At 44.7% G+C, this 16,981-nt stretch overlaps 2 protein-coding genes across 2 annotated transcripts in view, besides 3 other annotated features; one reads left to right on the top strand and one right to left on the bottom strand.

Annotated features, from left to right (window-relative positions):
- Positions 1-10,324: 10,324 nt before the first annotated feature.
- C14orf39 (chromosome 14 open reading frame 39) overlaps positions 10,325-16,981 on the top strand; it is a 79,589-nt gene continuing 72,932 nt past the window's right edge. Inside the window, exon 1 of the mRNA XM_047431324.1 lies at positions 10,325-10,474. The gene's annotated coding sequence lies outside the window, so the exon portion shown is untranslated. The remainder of the gene's footprint in view (positions 10,475-16,981) is intronic.
- Positions 10,509-11,010: an enhancer, noted in NCBI's record as "H3K4me1 hESC enhancer chr14:60981577-60982078 (GRCh37/hg19 assembly coordinates)". NCBI's record gives its function as "activates a minimal SCP1, AML or CMV promoter by ChIP-STARR-seq in primed H9 embryonic stem cells {active_cell/tissue: H9 hESC(primed)}" and the evidence as "EXISTENCE:reporter gene assay evidence [ECO:0000049][PMID:30033119]".
- Positions 10,618-10,787: a silencer, noted in NCBI's record as "silent region_5812". NCBI's record gives its function as "represses an Ori minimal core promoter by ATAC-STARR-seq in GM12878 lymphoblastoid cells {active_cell/tissue: GM12878}" and the evidence as "EXISTENCE:reporter gene assay evidence [ECO:0000049][PMID:35858748]".
- Positions 13,019-16,723, bottom strand: SIX6 (SIX homeobox 6). The gene is made up of 2 exons (NM_007374.3): positions 15,899-16,723; positions 13,019-14,785 (listed from the first exon to the last, which is right to left on the bottom strand). Exons 1-2 carry the CDS (start codon positions 16,468-16,470, stop codon positions 14,617-14,619), a joined length of 741 nt encoding a protein of 246 aa, NP_031400.2. The 5' UTR covers positions 16,471-16,723; the 3' UTR covers positions 13,019-14,616.
- Positions 14,084-14,855: an enhancer, noted in NCBI's record as "H3K27ac-H3K4me1 hESC enhancer chr14:60977732-60978503 (GRCh37/hg19 assembly coordinates)". NCBI's record gives its function as "activates a minimal SCP1, AML or CMV promoter by ChIP-STARR-seq in naive H9 embryonic stem cells {active_cell/tissue: H9 hESC(naive)}" and the evidence as "EXISTENCE:reporter gene assay evidence [ECO:0000049][PMID:30033119]".

The raw sequence follows: 16,981 nt of genomic DNA, 5'->3' as shown, positions 1-16,981 counted from the left end.
TTCACAGCCGAATTCTACCAGAGGTACAAAAAGGAGCTGATACCATTCCTTCTGAAACTATTTCAATCAAAAGAAAAGGAGGGAATCCTCCCTAACTCATTTTACGAGGCTAGCCTCATCCTGATACCAAAGCTTGGCAGAGACACAACAAAAAAAGAGAATTTTAGGCCAATATTCCTGATGAATATCAACGCAAAAATCTTCAATAAAACACTGGCAAACCAAATCCAGCAGCATATCAAAAAGCTTATCCACCACAATCAAGTCGGCTTCATCCCTGGAATGCAAGGTTGGTTCAACATACACAAATCAATAAACGTAATCCATCACATAAAGAGAACCAATGACAAAAACCACATGATTATCTCCATAGACGCAGAAAAAGCCTTCGACAAAATTCGACAGCCTTTCATACTAAAAACTCTCAATATACCAGGTATTGATGGAACAGATCTCAAAATAATAAGAGCTATTTTTGACAAACCTACAGCCAATATCATACTGAATGGGCAAAAACTGGAAGCATTCCCTTTGAAAATCAGCACAAGACAAGGATGCCCTCTCTCACAACTCCTATTCAACATAGTGTTGGAAGTTCTGCCTAGAGAAATCAGGCAAGAGAAAGAAATAAAGGGTATTCAATTAGGAAAACAGGAAGTCAAATTGTCTCTGTTTGCAGATGGCATGACTGTATATTTAGAAAACCCCATTGTCTCAGCCCAAAATCTCCTTAGGTTGATAAGTAACTTCAGCAAAGTCTCAGGATACAAAATCAATGGCAAAAATCACAAGCATCCTATACACCAATAATAGACAAACAGAGAGCCAAATCATGAGTGAACTCCCATTCACAATTACTACAAAGAAAATAAAACACCTAGGGATCCAACTTACAAAGGATGTGAAGGACCTCTTCAAGGAGAACTACAAACCACTGCTCAATGAAATAAAGGAGGACACAAACAAATGGAAGAACATTCCATGCTCATGGATAGGAAGAATCAATATCATGAAAATGGCCATACTGCCCAAAGTAATTCACAGAGTCAATGCTATCCCCATCAAGCTACCAATGACTTTCTTCACAGGATTGGAAAAAACTACTTTAAAGTTCATATGGAACCAAAAAAGAGCCCACATTGCCAAGTCAATCCTAAGCCAAAAGAACAAAGCTGGAGGCATCACACTACCTGACTTCAAACTATACTACAAGGCTACAGTAACCAAAACAGCATGGTACTGGTACCAAAACAGAGATATAGACCAATGGAACAGAACAGAGGCCTCAGAAATAATGCCGCATATCTACAACCATCTGATCTTTGACAAACCTGACAAACACAAGCAATGGGGAAAGGATTCCCTATTTAATAAATGGTGCTGGGAAAACTGGCTAGCCATATATAGAAAGCTGAACCTGGATCTCTTCTGTACACCTTATACAAATATTAACTCAAGATGGATTAAAGACTTAAATGTAAGACCTAACTCCATAAAAACCATAGAAGAAAACCTAGGCAATACCATTTAGGACATAGGCATGGGCAAAGACTTCATGACTAAAACACCAAAAGCAATGGCAACAAAAGCCAAAATTGACAAATGGGATCTAATTAAACTAAAGGGCTTCTGCACAGCAAAAGAAATGATCATCAGAGTGAACAGGCAACCTACAGAATGGGAGGAAATCTTTGCAATCTACCCATCTGACAAAGGGCTAATATCCAGAATCTACAAAGAACTTAAACAAATTTACAAGAAAAAAACAACCCCATCAAAAAGTGGGCAAAGGTAATGAATAGACACTTCTCAAAAGAAGACATTTATGCAGCCAACAGATCGGTGAAAAAAATGCTCATCATCACTGGTCATCAGAGAAATGCAAATCAAATCCGTGATGAGATACCATCTCACACCAGTTAGAATGGTGATCATTAAAAAGTCAGGAAACAATAGATGCTAGAGAGGATGTGGAGAAGAAATAGGAATGCTTTTACACTGTTGGTGAGGGTGTAAATTAGTTCAACCATTGTGGAAGACAGTGTGGCAATTCCTCAAGGATCTAGAACTAGAAATACCATTTGACCCACCAATCCCATTATTGGGTATATACCCAAAGGATTATAAATCATGCTACTATAAAGACACATGCACACATATGTTTATTGTGGCAGTATTCACAATAGCAAAGACTTGGGACCAACCCAAATGTCTATCAATGATAGACTGGATTAAGGAAATGTGGCACACATACACCATGGAATACTATGCAGCCATAAAGAGGATTAGTTAATGTCCTTTGCAGGGACCTGGATGAAGCTGGAAACCATCATTCTAAGCAAACTATCACAAGGACAGAAAACCAAACATCACATGTTCCCACTCATAGGTGGGAGTTGAACAATGAGAACACATGGACACAGGGCGGGAACATCACACACCAGGGCCTACTTGGGGGTGTGGGACTCGGGGAGGGATAGCATTAGGAGAAATACCTAATGTAAATGACGAGTTGATGGGTGCAGCAAACCAACATGGCACATGTATACCTGTGTAACAAAACTGCATGTTGTGCACATGTACCTTAGAACTTGAAGTACAATAAAAAAGTTTACTACTTAAGATGTTATAAATCAAATACCAAGCTGCTTCCTTTAGCTAATAGGAATGCTATTTTAGCTAATTATAAATTAGAATCTAAGTAGATTATGTGAAAAGACCTGACTCTCAACTTTTAAACTAGCAAAATGAGGTTAAGATTTTCTTGTCTGTAAACCCACTTAATTTTATTGCTTATAGGTACTATTCATCACAGTGGTTTTTATTATTTCATTTAGGTGACAAGATATTTAAAGATATGTGGTCTATAATTGGAAACAAAATAAAAGGAATACTTGGATGAAAAGATTGGGGATGACTAGATAAAATATCTAAGGTCCTCTTCAATCTAATAGTTGACATGTTTTAAAAATCAGCTCTATTTTGGTATAATTTATATACAACAAAACTCACCCATCTGAAAGTGTATATTTCAAAAAGTTCTGACAAAAGGACATACCTTCCCCTCCACTGCAAAGAGAAACACTAGTTAATAGATGAAGACTATGAAAAATTTTGGATTCTTTATTATACTGTTTTTAATAGGAAGCAATTTTATTTGAACTCTTCATGTTTAGCTTCAATATTAGTGTCCTTATCGTCATGATTATCATCACTGTGCCCTTTGTTGAGACCTCTAACAGAATTTTTCAGGGCACATCATCTTTATCTCTAAGTTATTTGAGCCACAGCACTTTCAAAACCTGACCATGGTGCTATCACTGCCTGCATATTACATTAGGCATCCAGACTTTTCCTTTCATTTTGTAGGCAAATACTCTCTACCACAAAACCTGCTTTATTTATCATTTTATAATGCCTATTAGCTAAAATAGCATTCCCATTAGCTAAAGGAAGCAGCTCAGCATTTGACTTATAACATCTTAAGTAGTAAACTTAATATAGGCATCAATTCACATGATTTTAAAAATGTAAACTATACAAAGGTATACACTGAAAAGTCTCCCTGCCACCCCTATCTCCCACCTGCTCGGTTGGTCCCCCAAACTTGAAACCACTGTTTATAGCTTCATATGTGTCTTTCCAGAGTTTATTTATTCAGATATGAATAAATATAAATGTAAGGTCTTAATTTTATACTCACTATCTTTGTCTAGCAATCAGTTGGCCATACCTTCTTTTATTTTTCTTTGGAAAAGAAAATCCTTTTTTTTTTTTTGTGAATAACTTCAACTCATTCAGACTAAACTTTCCTGTAATAAAACATAAGGATTCTGGCTATTCTTTAGTTATGTTCATTCATTCATTTAATTCAATTATTCAGCAAAGATCTACTGATTTTCTGTGGTGGCAAAAATACTGTACTCAGTTCTTGGAAGATTACAAAGATGACAGACCTTATCCTTGAAGAAAATATAGTATAGTGGAAGATAGAAAATATGAATCTAACTAATATGAGAGATGCATAAAATATCACAGCAGTTCAGAGAAGGGAGAGATTAGTTAAATGATATGGATCAAACATGGTTCTGGGATGAAAATGACCTTAGAGCTGAGCCCTGATAGTTGGGTTTATGTACCTGTGTAGATGGGGTAAGGGAAAAGAAAGAACATTCTATTTTATAACTTAGCACCCTTGTTTGCAAGTAATAGAAACTCAAAGTAGTTTAAAAAAAATAGTGCAAAGGGAGGAGGACGTATGTTAGCTCCTGCATCCAAAACACAAGACAAAACTGAACCCAACTTCGGTGTCAATAGCATACAAATATTTTACCAGTCTTAGCCTTTTGTGTCTCTCCTTCCTCTATTCTGTTTCTTTTTCCTTGAGCCTCCTTCCTGTAATAGGTGATATGGCTGTAACATATTCTTACTGCTCTCAATCCAAGAGTACAGAGAAAACTGCTCCTCTAATTCATAAATTTCTGGAAAGGACTGGCCCAACTTGGTGGTTATACCTTGCTGTGGGTTGAGGGAGTGGGAGGTACTGTTTGACAGCCTCAACCAAAACACACTGAATTGGGAAAGAGCAGTTCTCCAAGTGTGCTGCTACAGAAAAAGGCAGGAAGGGATGCATGCAGGCACCAAGTGTGGAGGTCGATTTACACCTGCATCATGAGGAAAGTCATGAAGGTAGCAAAATGCATTCCATGCTCTGAATATGGTAAGAAGTTCAGAAGAAGGCAGGGACAAGGGTGAGGCAAGCAAGCCATCTATGGTGCAAAATTTAAGGGGGTACTAATTCTTAGATGCCAACCCTGAACTTGCAGAACCTTGAGAGTGAGTGCCTCCTTAAATTTTGTACCTTAGTCACCTTGCTTGCCTCAATTTAATCCTGGCCCTGTTTAGAAGGACAGGATGCTTCACAGAGTTGAAGATCAACAGGTTGAGTAGTTTGAGGACCAAGTAAAGTGACCTTTGAGGCAACTGTCTTAATGTAATGATGTGAGTAAAAGACAGGTTGCACAAGTTTAAGGAGTAAATACCTAGAGAAGAAACTGGGGCAAAGAATGTAGGCTACTCTCTCATGAAGTTGGGTGGTGAAGAGAAGGAATTGCTTCTTGAGGGGAAAGCTTGAGGGGCCTGAAAAGGTTTTTACTTTATTTTACTTTTAATATTGGTGATATCTGACTCCCGAAGCAGTCATCTACTTCAATGGAATGATTTGAAGGGTACTTGGCTCTTTTCCAACCAAAAATAATTTTCTACTAGCCTGCTAGTGGTGTTTGAATTGCTACCATTAGTGATTTGAGGTTACTTAATTAAAGGATTATCTCCTAACAGATAGTAAGTACTCTCCCAGGCCCCCATCTGTAGGTAATTCATCAAGCTTTTAGCAGCTCTACTTCTATGTTGATGTGAATTGGTTTATCTGATTTTTGTGACAACCGAGAATAGATTTTGATAAATGGAGGGTGAAGAACATCGAAGGGCTTCTGACAGTTTGGGATGGGGCACCTGTAAGTAGGCAAGGTGAAGGACCTCCAAAAGGAAACGGAAAGGTAACCAGGTTCAAAGGGGTAAACTGCGTACCTCACAGTTCTACTCAGGGCCAGCTCTCCAGTTGCAATCTTAAACTCTCTCTCCCTCCGTCTATGAGTTATCTTTTTTTAAAACAGCGTTTCAGTAGAAACTTATCAAAACTTTCTGAGAAAATAAATTATGTCTCAGGTAATAGAAAAGTGTAATGGACTTGGAGTCAGAAAACCTGTTCTCATCACTCACTGGGCCTGTGCACAGGCAGCATTACCTTGGAGCAAATGACACTTAGGCTTCAAGATTCCTCACTTGCACAGGTCTCTTCCAAGGTCCTGGAAGTGGTTCTAGCAATATGTTCACATAATCATTGCATTTTTTGAAAATTTATAAAATAAGGCAATTTAACAACAATAGATCATTGTTTCTTTCCATTCCTATTTTCCCTCTGTCCATTTCCCTTCATGCTGGGTTTCAATGGAGTAACCATAGTCATTTTTGGGATCTGGTAGTTAAAGGGAACTTGAGTTGGGTATACAGTTTATTTGAGTTCAGTGTTATATTTTTATGATTTGCTGTTACTTCTTTGTAAGTGTAAGACCCTGATCACAAACTAGTTAATGAATGTTGTCAATGTAAAGATTATTTAATGGGTTATTGCTCAAGGAAACGTGTAGTGTCCTGAAATTTAACTGCCTATATATGGAAGAAATTTCACTGAGGCTTTCCCATAGTTGATGCCAATCCTAAAAATAATATATGGCATTACCAATAATGAGCTATGAAACTGCGAGAAACTTTTCTAAGTTATCAATAATAAAAATATTTAAACCAACCCACAGTAAAGACTGAATTATCTTTCTATTTGAGGTTGTATAATAAAATTATTGTCACACAAAGGAGCAATCAAAGAACATACAGAAAAACAGTAGGGAAAAAACAATTCTAGAGGTATGTAAGACAGTTAATGAAATGATTTTATTACTTGCCTGGATTTTGTGGTTTGTTGTATTTGCCAGGTTAAAAAAATTGTAATTGATGTTATTTTTTGTACCCAATTTTGTACTCATAATTTTATATCTTTAATCTTAAAGAGTGCCCCACCCCTCCAAATAGTGTAAGCTTCAAACCCTACAAAATCTGGATTCTTTCCTGGTCCTGTGACTTTGAGCAAGTAATGAGCCCCAGTTCCCTCATCCGGAAGATGGGAATCCCACTATCTGCTGATTTACCTCACAGGGTTCTTGTGAGGAAGTGAAATAGTGCAAGTGAAATATTTTATTATTAGCTATAAAAAGAGCCATGCGAGTGTAATTGAAGTGAGATCACTACTTTCTCCTCAAAGAAATGAACCTTGCATTTTCCCCAAAAGGTTATGTTACATTTTCAGTGATCATACTTTATATGTGGGGTTATCCTGACTTGCATGATGGGCCAGGATCCCTTTGGAGAGCTTCACATAGTTGACAAGCAGCCTTAAGCAGAGTAAAGAAGCAAGGAAAGGATGATGGTATGTGAGCACAAGCTCCTCCATTGCCATTGCTGGAAAACCAACATATTGGGTCCTACCTACTGGGGGTGGTGAGTGGAAGCTGCTTCTAGTACTAAGGAAAGCATTTAGCATTTAAATTCAATATTACAAATATGTACATTACATCTATTAAAAACAACTTTTAAGCTTATTTCTTTGCCTTAGCATTTAACCAGGCAAAATGGGGAAAGGGAAGTTCCATTCACTGAACCCCTATTATATGTGAGGGTCTGTGCTAGGTGCTTTACATGCATTAACCAAATAACACTCACAATATTCCTGGATATTATCAACCCATTTTGCAGAAGTAAAAACTAAGGCTCAGAGAGTTGAGTGACTTCTGAAATTCACAGCGATTAGGTATTTCAAGCCAGGTTTGTCTGATCCCACCTTCTCAGGTGCCAGCCCATTGTCCACAGACTGTTTCCAGTATAGTTTTCTTTTTCCCACTTGCTTTCTATTTTAAATGGACAAATCCAGTTCATACAGTTACAAGTATCTGCAAAAATAATTTCTTTAGATAAGATATACATGCGTAGGTCTTCAGTTCAAATACGTAATTTACCAGGAATTTATAGAAAGTCAGGAGTATACCCAATGCCATGGAAAATGCTTTAAGTGGTGATTAATTTAAATGGGCAAATCTTTTATAGGAATCTTAAATATCTGAAAATGTTCGAAATGCATAATAATTTTTTGCCCACCAGACTCTTCATGTGCCAAATTAATGTGCCCTCTCAAGTGTTCGATTTCGTGCTAGAAAATTTAAGACTAATCTCTTCAGTGAGAAAAACAAACAGTAACTCAGTATTCTCAGGTTGCAGATTGGCAGTGCCAGGCTAGAATGAATTTCCAAGAGGAAGCCTTATACGTATTTTATCAGAATTCGAAATTATACACAGTTCACTTGCTTCTGCCCATTAAATTTTAAAATAGAGATGAGTTTGCTATCCAGTATTTTCACACAGCCCTTGCGATTTAAGATTTTAATGGCCGGGTGCGGGTGGCTCACGCCTGTAATCCCAGCACTTTGGGAGGCCGATGCGGGCTGATCACGATGTCAGGAGATCCAGACTATCCTGGCTAATACGGTGAAACCCCGTCTCTACTAAAAATACACAAAATTAGTCGGGCGGGGTGGCGGGCGCCTGTAGTCCCAGCTACTCGGGAGGCTGAGGCAGGAGAATGGCGTGAACCTGGGAGGCAGAGCTTGCAGTGAGTCCAGATCCCGCCACTGCACTCCAGCCTGGGCGACAGAGCGAGACTCCGTCTCAAAAAAAAAAAATATTTTAATGAAAACTGTTTATCCCCCCTAGGTGAGCCTAAGCATGGTGGTGGGATGCCAATCTATTATCTTAGAATTGGAGACCTTGTCTGGGTTTGTGATTTTTTTGTTTTTGTGGTTTACTTTATCATGTGTAGGTCAGGACTGGAGTGAGGTGGGGAAGCCAGAGGAGAGAAAAGGTGGGAGGGAGGAGAAAGGAAAGGGTTATTGTCTTAGTCCATTCCTGCTGCTATAAAGGAAATACTTTGGACTGGGTAATTTATACATTTCTCACAGTTCTGGAGGCCGGGAAGTGCAAGATCAAAGCCTGGTTAGGTTCTGTGTCTGGTAAAGGCTGGTTCTCTCTGCTTCTAAGATGGTGTCTTTTTCCTGCACCTTCACGTGGCAGAAGGACAGAAGGGCAAAAAGGAAATAATAGACTTCCTCAAGCCCTTTTATAAAAGCACTAATTCCATTCATGGGGCAGTGAATCACCTCCTAAAGGTCCCACTTCTTAATACTACTGCATTGGGGATTAAGTTTCAACATGAATTTTGGAGGGATATGAACATTAAACCATAGCAGTTATCTTTGAAGCAGAATAGAAATTCTTATGTTGTAGGGTTCAGAGAGTATAATACCTAGAATTTTCAAAATCCAAGAGGATTACTCTTACCTTTTTGGGAAAATGTGTTGTGTGAGAAGATAATTTTCATGGTATGAACCCAAAGTCATAGCACTCTAAAAAAACCGCATGCCTAGAGGGAGACAGCACTCTATGGAATCATCCCAGAGAACCCGACAAGTAGGTAACAGCCAGTAACTTACTGAGCTGGGAGGATTACAGTGAACTTTGGGTCCAGCCAATATAAGTCATCTCTTCTCTTCAAATGATTCCCGAGCTAGCAGAGGTCCCCCACTAACGTAAGAGCAGACAGATTTCAAGGAAGATGCATGAATTCATTCAGCTTTAAAACATTTATTGAGCACCTACTACTTGGGCTAGGTGCTGGGAATACAAAGATGGGTAAGAGTTGGTCCTTGCCTTTAAATAAAGAGCTTACATTCTAGCAAAGGCTGAAGGGGGAAGTCAGACAGACAAATAAATGAGCAAAAGTGTTAGAGCGCTAAAACAGACGTTTAGATAAGGTGCGGTGGGAGCATTAAAAAAGGTGGTGGCACATTATCTGTGTGGAGCTCACTGGCTCACGGAAAACTTAGTGGAGGTGGGGTAGGCTTTGTGGAATGACAGGGTAGCAGTTGAGGTAGGGGGCGGCGTTCCAGGCAGAGCAAACCACAGGGCAAGCGGAAACAGCATGAGCGGGCAGGGAGGCGTGAAACTGCTTGTTCAGCTCTGGGATCGCCCTCACACCCCTTTGTCTCCAGACAAGGAGGTGAAAACGGGAAGAAAACCAGTTCGTTCCCTCGCGGTAGGGCACGTCTGAAGAAGTTTGGGAATATAAATCCTAGCAAAGAGAGCTGCAAGGAAGGATCTAGCCAGAGGAGATTTGTAAGAGCTTACAATGGGAAATAAAGTTTCCCATTGTAAACCTTGCTTGGAAACCCCGCAAGGTTTCCGAAAGAAGGCGGCCCAGGTGGCCTGCCAGGGCTCAAATGTGCTATCGCGAACATGCGGTCCTTGAAGGACCCCGCTCCCTCTCCCCGCCTCGAAGGCTAACCCCGGCGGACCTGTCGGGCGCGGAAAGCCCCCTTTAGGTCCCGCTCCCTGGTCTCGGACCTCTCCCCTCTTCCCGCCCCTCTCGGCGACTCGCTCGGCGCGGCCTAGGACCGGTGGCGACAACTGCTGTTGCACCGGCAGGCCCAGGCCAGACACGCGTAGGCCCAGGCCCGACGCGGGCGGCAGCCTCTCGCGCAGGCCCAGACCGCGGCGCGCGCCGCATCCACGGGCTCGAGGCTCTGCAACCGCTGCGACTTCAGGCGCCCGAGGGTGGGCGGGCGCGCGCCTCCGCAGCTGCAGGGGCGCGCGCTTGTGGGCTCATTCTCCCACCTAGGTTTAAATTGAACCCCGTCTCGGTCCCCCGGTTTTGAGAGGTTTCTCTCCTCGAGCCGCTGAGTCACGCAGCCCAACAGTAGGAGTGGCTCGAGGCCTACACGTCCGCGAGTTCGCGGGGCGCTGGATGGAAAAGGTGGGTGCGCGAAAAGGGGGGCTCTCCTTCCTCGGGGACCCAGATCTGTGGCCTCCGTGGGGAGATCTGGGCCCCCGAGTAAGGACTCACCTTCCCGGGTACTGTGGGCCCAGTCTGGGCTTCTCTTTGGGAGCGGACCGTGGCTTGGGGCGCCTCCCCGAGGGGACCCACGCGCCCGCCGCTCCAGCCGCCATTTCCCAGCAGGCCTCCAGGGGGCCTCCCCGCCGCTGCCTTCCCGTCGGCGGCGCCGGGCACGGGGGTAGCCGCGCGGCGCAGGCAGGGACACGCCTCGGCGCCCGGGCCAGCGCGCGGACAATGACCCCTTCTCCCCTCGCCGCCGCCTCCTCCCCGACACCGCCCCCTCGCAGCTCACAGGCAAACCTATTAGCCATTCAGGCCGACAAAACCCCGCGGCCCCGCGCATTGTCCCGCCGAGCGCCCGGCCGCCGTCATTAGCCCTGATTACGCAGAGCCGCCTGACAGCCCCGCCGGCCGCTCCACAGACCCCCCATTCACGGCCGCCCCCGGGCTCCGCCTCACAAAAGGAGCGGAAATCGTCCGCGCTCTCGCGTCCCCGTTGAATAGAGCGAAAAGCTGCTTCTCCTCTCCTCCCGCCCCATTCACATTCTCTTTGGATACAATATTTTTTTCCTTTTTGTTAAAATTAGGGAGAGGGAACGAGGTCAAGGAAGACTTTGCTTGAGCTCTTTGCCTGTCATTTGTTTAATGTAAACAAAGAGCAAGCCCTCCCCACCCCCATCGTCTTCTCCCCTCCCTCCCAGATTTTTTATAAACAAACTGGCGAAGGGAAAGGAGGGAGTGACGGGTGGAAGTGGAGTGGGTCATTAAAGTGGAGGCGAGAGGAACTGCGGCATTTGGGGAGCAGGGGCCGTCGTTTTTTTTGGTGAAACTGGAGTGTGGTTGAAATGTTTATAAGCCGGAAAAGAGCCTGACCTGGGGCTTGGGGTAAAATCTTCACATTGGTCAGGTCCGTTGAAATATTTAATATAAAAATGCTCTTTCCACTCTGCTGGAGTAGCTGCTTTTTGGGAAATTGTGACAGAAGAATTGCAGGAAAAGAAAGGAAGGAAACCCATTATATAGAGATTTTGCCAAATTCAGAAACCTTCAGCCTTGCCATTACCTGGACTTTTTTTCCCCCCAAAACCCTGAAGACCAGAATGAAGCTGATATGGAAAAAGTCTTAAAAAGAAACCCTTTAAATGTCCTTGGGAAGATTGGAAAGATTAAAATAAAATAAATCTCTGTGAAGATCTGGACTAATTTCCAATATGTGGTCACCAAAGAATTGGTTATTCACAGAGGCAATTAGGTGCCATCACATTACAGATAAACATTTAAAAAAATCTTACAAGTAATGTGTCACCCCCTTAAGATTCTAAAGTGAAATTAAATAAATAAATATCCAGATTGTTGAAACAGAATAGCTACTTTAAAATGTAGGCAGCTTGTTAATTTAAGTAAATGGTAGCTGTAGTTTAAAGGCTTTTGTCAAAGCAGGAATTAAAAATGCTCCATCACTGTTTGGTCTTCTCTTTTTGTCCAAGCAATAAACTGTCACTTAAAAATTATTTTGTAAAGAGAAAGCTTAGTTTCTTAGTTACCCTATTTTCTTGACACTGCGGAATGGACATTTTCTTCTGCTTTTAGGTATCATTTGAAGGGGTGGGTGGAGTGGGATTTTTAGAATCTCAAATTCTTTTACATTATTCCACTAATTAGTTATTTCCCATCCCTCTAGGACTTGGAAGCATAAACTTAAGAGAAAATTTGCCAACAAACTTCTCCAAACACTGGTTCTGGACAGCCCCATAGCTAAGGGTGGGGTGGGGCTGGGGAACAAGAGTGGATATCCGTGGCTACTCCTTGTCAGATTAAGGACTAGGATGAGGCAAAGGAGGCACTTAGAGTGCAAAATTTAAGGAGGCACTCAATCTCATGTGCCTTGCACTTGCTGCACTTGCATAACCTTGACCGTGAGTCCCCTCCTGGCCTCACTCTAGTCCTCGCCAGCCCCTCGTTAGCATTCTAGGAACTACCTGGGGCTCTAGGAAACAAAATTAAGTACTGAGGAAGCTCTACAATGGGAGCCTTTCAGGACCCACAGGAGGGCTTTTGCTTGCTTTTGGAAAGAACACCAGTTTTATCACGAAAACTTACCCACTCCTTCCATGTAAAGCTCTTGTGCAAGAGAGTTTTGATTTTCAAGAATTCTCTGGATAAGGGCCACCATACACAAGGACAACATTTATAAAGCCCAAATGAGCCAAATCTATTCAAGCGATTTAGAAACCAAAAATCAACCCTTACTCTGTCCTGGGCTTCCATTGTCTATCTTGCCGTTTGGCTGCTTTTTGTCTTCCATGACTTCACTTATTTTTGTTTGGTTTGCACTTTGGCACTTCTGCCTAAAGAAGTTAGCAGGCTTCTGATCCAAAGAACATCTTCTAAGGACAGAAAGGCAAATGGAAAAGGCTGTAATTGGGGGATGGGGACAGTAAAGAGGGAAGTCAGCTCAAGTGATTTAAAGATCAATGTCAAATTTTATAATATGCAATCTGTTTCACTAGGAACAAAATTAGAGACTCTGGCTAGCATTTATTTTCTTAGTGCAAAGATGGTAGATGTTTTTGCGTTGTATATGCATGCATTTGTTCATGTATAGGTGCATACATGCATGTGCACGAGGAAAAATTAAATGCTAAAAATATTTTATGTTTTAATCGAGGCCATTACCAGGACAATGAGGCCCTTGATGACTTGTTCTATGCTTAATTCGGAGATTAGGTTTTTAAAATGCCAGTTATTTCTACAGCCTTGTTTTACCCTCAGTATGTGACATGATTACATCCTTTCCCCCATCTCAGTATCCCTCTTGTTAAAAACCATTCATTTGATTAAAACCAAATTCTGCAGCAAGAAGATGTTAGTCTAATTATTTACAACCTCTTCTATCATCTTTTGTCTTATTTTAATAATAGCTCAATCCTAAATGCAGTATATGCTCACTCTAGCATGATCATGGGTGCCTGCTGCTTTTGTATTGGAGGGGGCCTTGAAGGAGACAGAAAGCCTTTCTTGCTGCAGAGCCTGAGTCAGGATAGTTTTGCATTTTTAGAAAATAGGACTCACTTATTGAGTCCCATAGTTTGGCTTCCTAAATTGCTCCTGAAAGCTGTTGACACTTCATGTAAACGAGTGTCAAGTGGACAAGCCATAATTACCTGTGCTGGGGATGCGGGGACTTGCCTTAGAGAGGACGCTCACATGTTGCCAATTTCTAGCCTTAAATATATCACGTGTATGCATACATACATATGTTTGTATAGGTACATACATATGTTTGTATAGGTACATACATATATGCACATACGTGTAATTTGACGTGGGAGGTGGTTATAGACCTACCATAGGTTGTTTAAAACATATACCAGGAAGCACCAAAGAAGGCAAAAGATATATAGGTAAGACCTTCCGGAGACCATTTGCTCAAGGGTCCCTGCATGCCTGGTGAAGGGAATGATATTAATAATAATAAGAAGAAAAGGAATCTGAGAGCAGCTCCCTTAATTAAGAAGGTTGCCCACTAGGTTGTTTTATTGTTTGGCTTCTCCACACAGAACCCATCACCACCAGCCTGCATGTTTAGAAACAGCAAGTTCCCCAAGCTACAGAGAAACCTACCATGGCGGTCTCTTAAATAAGTAAATAAACAGCATATATATGTTTTGTTAAAAAAAAACTTTAAAGCGAAAGTTATACATATGTAACAGCGTCCTTTCGACGTGAAATACCCATGGGAGAATCTGGGCAGGCGCTCAGCTTGCAGTTCGGGTTCCGAAGGAGACTTTGCAGCAAAATCCTTAGGAAAAAGCAAAGCAAGAAGAACGTGGTGCTGGGTCAGGCCTCACCGCTGGTTCCCGTGGTCGCGGCCAAAGGGCGCCAGTGAAGCCAGGCCGGCCGCGGGGTGGGGCGGGAAACGGCAACCCGAGCCCGCGGGTCCCTGGTCACCTGGCTTCTGTGGCGCTGGATTTGCAGGTCTCTCATCTTCTTCCCCTCTTTCATTTTGTTTTTCTCGTTTTTACACTGGAATCTGCTTCTGAGCATCCTGGATGGGCAACTCAGATGTCGCACTCGCTGTCGCTGGACGTGATGGAGATGGCTGAAGTGGCCGCCTTGCTGGATAGACTGGCGGCCGGGCTGGTGGCGACGCCCAGCACCTCTGGCGTGCCGTCGCCCTCCGCCCGTAGTGCCCGCCCGGAACCCTGTGACAGGACCTGCTGCTGGAGTCTACGGGGAAGAAAGGGAACACGGGTCACAGCTCGTAACACAGCCGCCCGTCGCCCGCCCCCACCACCTCCTGCGTCCCTCCAGCCCGGCGGCTAGAGGTTCTTCCGAAGACCCCAGCAGTTAAGGCGAGGATTACTCGGCAAGGCGACAGAGGTCGGGCAGGAGTCCGCGGCCGCCCCTCCGCGGGTCCCTACTGTTGTGCCCCACCATGATTCGCGCCCTTTCTCAGCGCCGCAGCTCCCAGGTCTTTTATATACTGGGCTTGCAGTGTCCTCCCTGTTTGTTGTGCACTTTTGGGAGATTTACAGGACTGTCAGGAAATAAACGAAGTGTGGGTGACAAGGACAGATCGGTCCCAGGGACATGGGATACCATTTCTAACGGTGCGTCTGCCTGGGGCTTACGCCTGAGCAAGTGCTCCCGCGATCGCGTTGGATCGGGTCGGCCCGACCTAAAGGCAAAAAGGATTGTAAGGAGCATTTGGGCCTGGGGGATGAGGCCGGGCTCTTCCGCAAAATGTTTGGCTAATCGAGATCCACACTCCGGGAAACGAAAAGCCTCGGCCCACGGACTAGTTTGCTGTTTTGAGACAAGAGTGGCAGGCAGCGCATGGGAAGAGGAAAACTCGACTTCCCATTTCTCAAAAGTCCATTGAAAACTGTTTTCAAAGCATTAGGGAGGGATATACCTGGGCTTTGAAAATGATAATTAACATGAAACCGACACATTGCTAATAAGCCAGGCTTCGATTAATAGTAGGAGCCTGTGCCCAGGCTGACAAGAATTAGCTTTGGGTCTTGGGGTCCCTAACTGTTTGTAGGATTTTAATTTTTTATTTCTCTTCCCCTCTCCGTCCCAGTGAAGCCTTGGTTTGGTGACCGGGACCAGCTGCTGCAGCTGCCCGCAGGCGTGGGGAGCCAGCGGGTGGGGAAGCAGAGCCGGCAAGGGAACTCCCGGCCAGGAGCCCAGAACGCAGGGCTCTTAACCCAAGACAGACCGCGCTCCCAACTCCTGCTGAATTGGAGTCGCCAGGGACTGGGTAAGGGCGCCAGAGGTGCCTCCACCCGCCTCCTCCCCGGTGCGCTCAAAGCGCGGAGGCCTCTAGGTACCGACCTGTTCTTGGCTGCAGCCGCTCGGTCCCTTTGTCGGCGGTTTTTGAACCAGTTGCCCACCTGCGTAGGGGTCAGTCCGGTTGCCTGGGCGAGCTCACGTTTTTTGCTGGGGTTAGGGTATGGATCCTGCAGGTACCACTCGCGTAGCAGGTGCCGCGTGCGCTCCTTGAAGCAGTGTGTCTTCTGTTCGCCGTCCCAAATGGTGCGCGGCAGCGGGAACTTCTTCCTTACTCGGTACTTGTCCACAGGTCCCAGGGGTCTTCCACGCAGCTTCTCAGCCTCCTGGTAGTGTGCTTCAAGCCACAGCGCCTGCAGCTTGGCGTGCGACTCCTTGGTGAACTTGTGGTTTTCCAGGATATGATAGAGCTCGCGGTAGTTGCCACCGTGAAAGGCCACGATGGCTCGTGCGCGTAGCACCGACTCATTCTTGTTGAGGGCCTCGCAGGCCGCAGGGGCCACGGGCAGCGACCAGAGGAAGCGACCCAGGCGCTCCACATCGCCGCTCTCTTCCAGGGTCTCACATACCCCGGCCACTTGCTGGGGGCTGAAATTCAAGATGGGCAGCTGGAACATCGAGGCAGTGCCGGCGGCGGCGAGGGCACTGAGCCCGGAGCGGGACACGCAGCAGATGCCCGCGGGCCTGGCTGAGTGTGCCAGGCGCTTGTTGATGAGGCGGATTGGGGCAGCGGGACACACTACCGGGTGGCGGCGGTGGCTCAACGGCCGGGAGCGGACGACCCCGACTGGAGGAGGTGCTGGCTCCGCGGCTTGGGGTTCGGGCTCGGCTCGGCTCAGGCACGCCGGCAGGCGAGCTGGCTCCGCTATTGGGGTGGGCGGATTGGCGGCGCGGGCGCCATGGAGACCCCCTGTCAGTCACCGGGTGGCTCTGCCAATCAAAGCTTGAATCAGCACGCCAGGACTATTTCAGCACCTCCCCGTGCTCGACAGCGCCCGCCGTTAGCTCCTGGACTTTTCTTCAGTATTTTGCAGAACCTGGAGGTTGAAAAGACATGCGAGTGTCTGGGAGAAAAAGAGAGGCGAGTGCGGCAGCGTTCACTACTCCTCCCTCCCCCACCCCGCTCTA

Source organism: Homo sapiens, chromosome 14, assembly GCF_000001405.40.
Source record: "Homo sapiens chromosome 14, GRCh38.p14 Primary Assembly".
Classification (NCBI taxonomy): Eukaryota; Metazoa; Chordata; class Mammalia; order Primates; family Hominidae; genus Homo; species Homo sapiens.
Note: the sequence above shows the minus strand (reverse complement) of the source record. Positions and strands in the feature narration are given on the sequence as shown.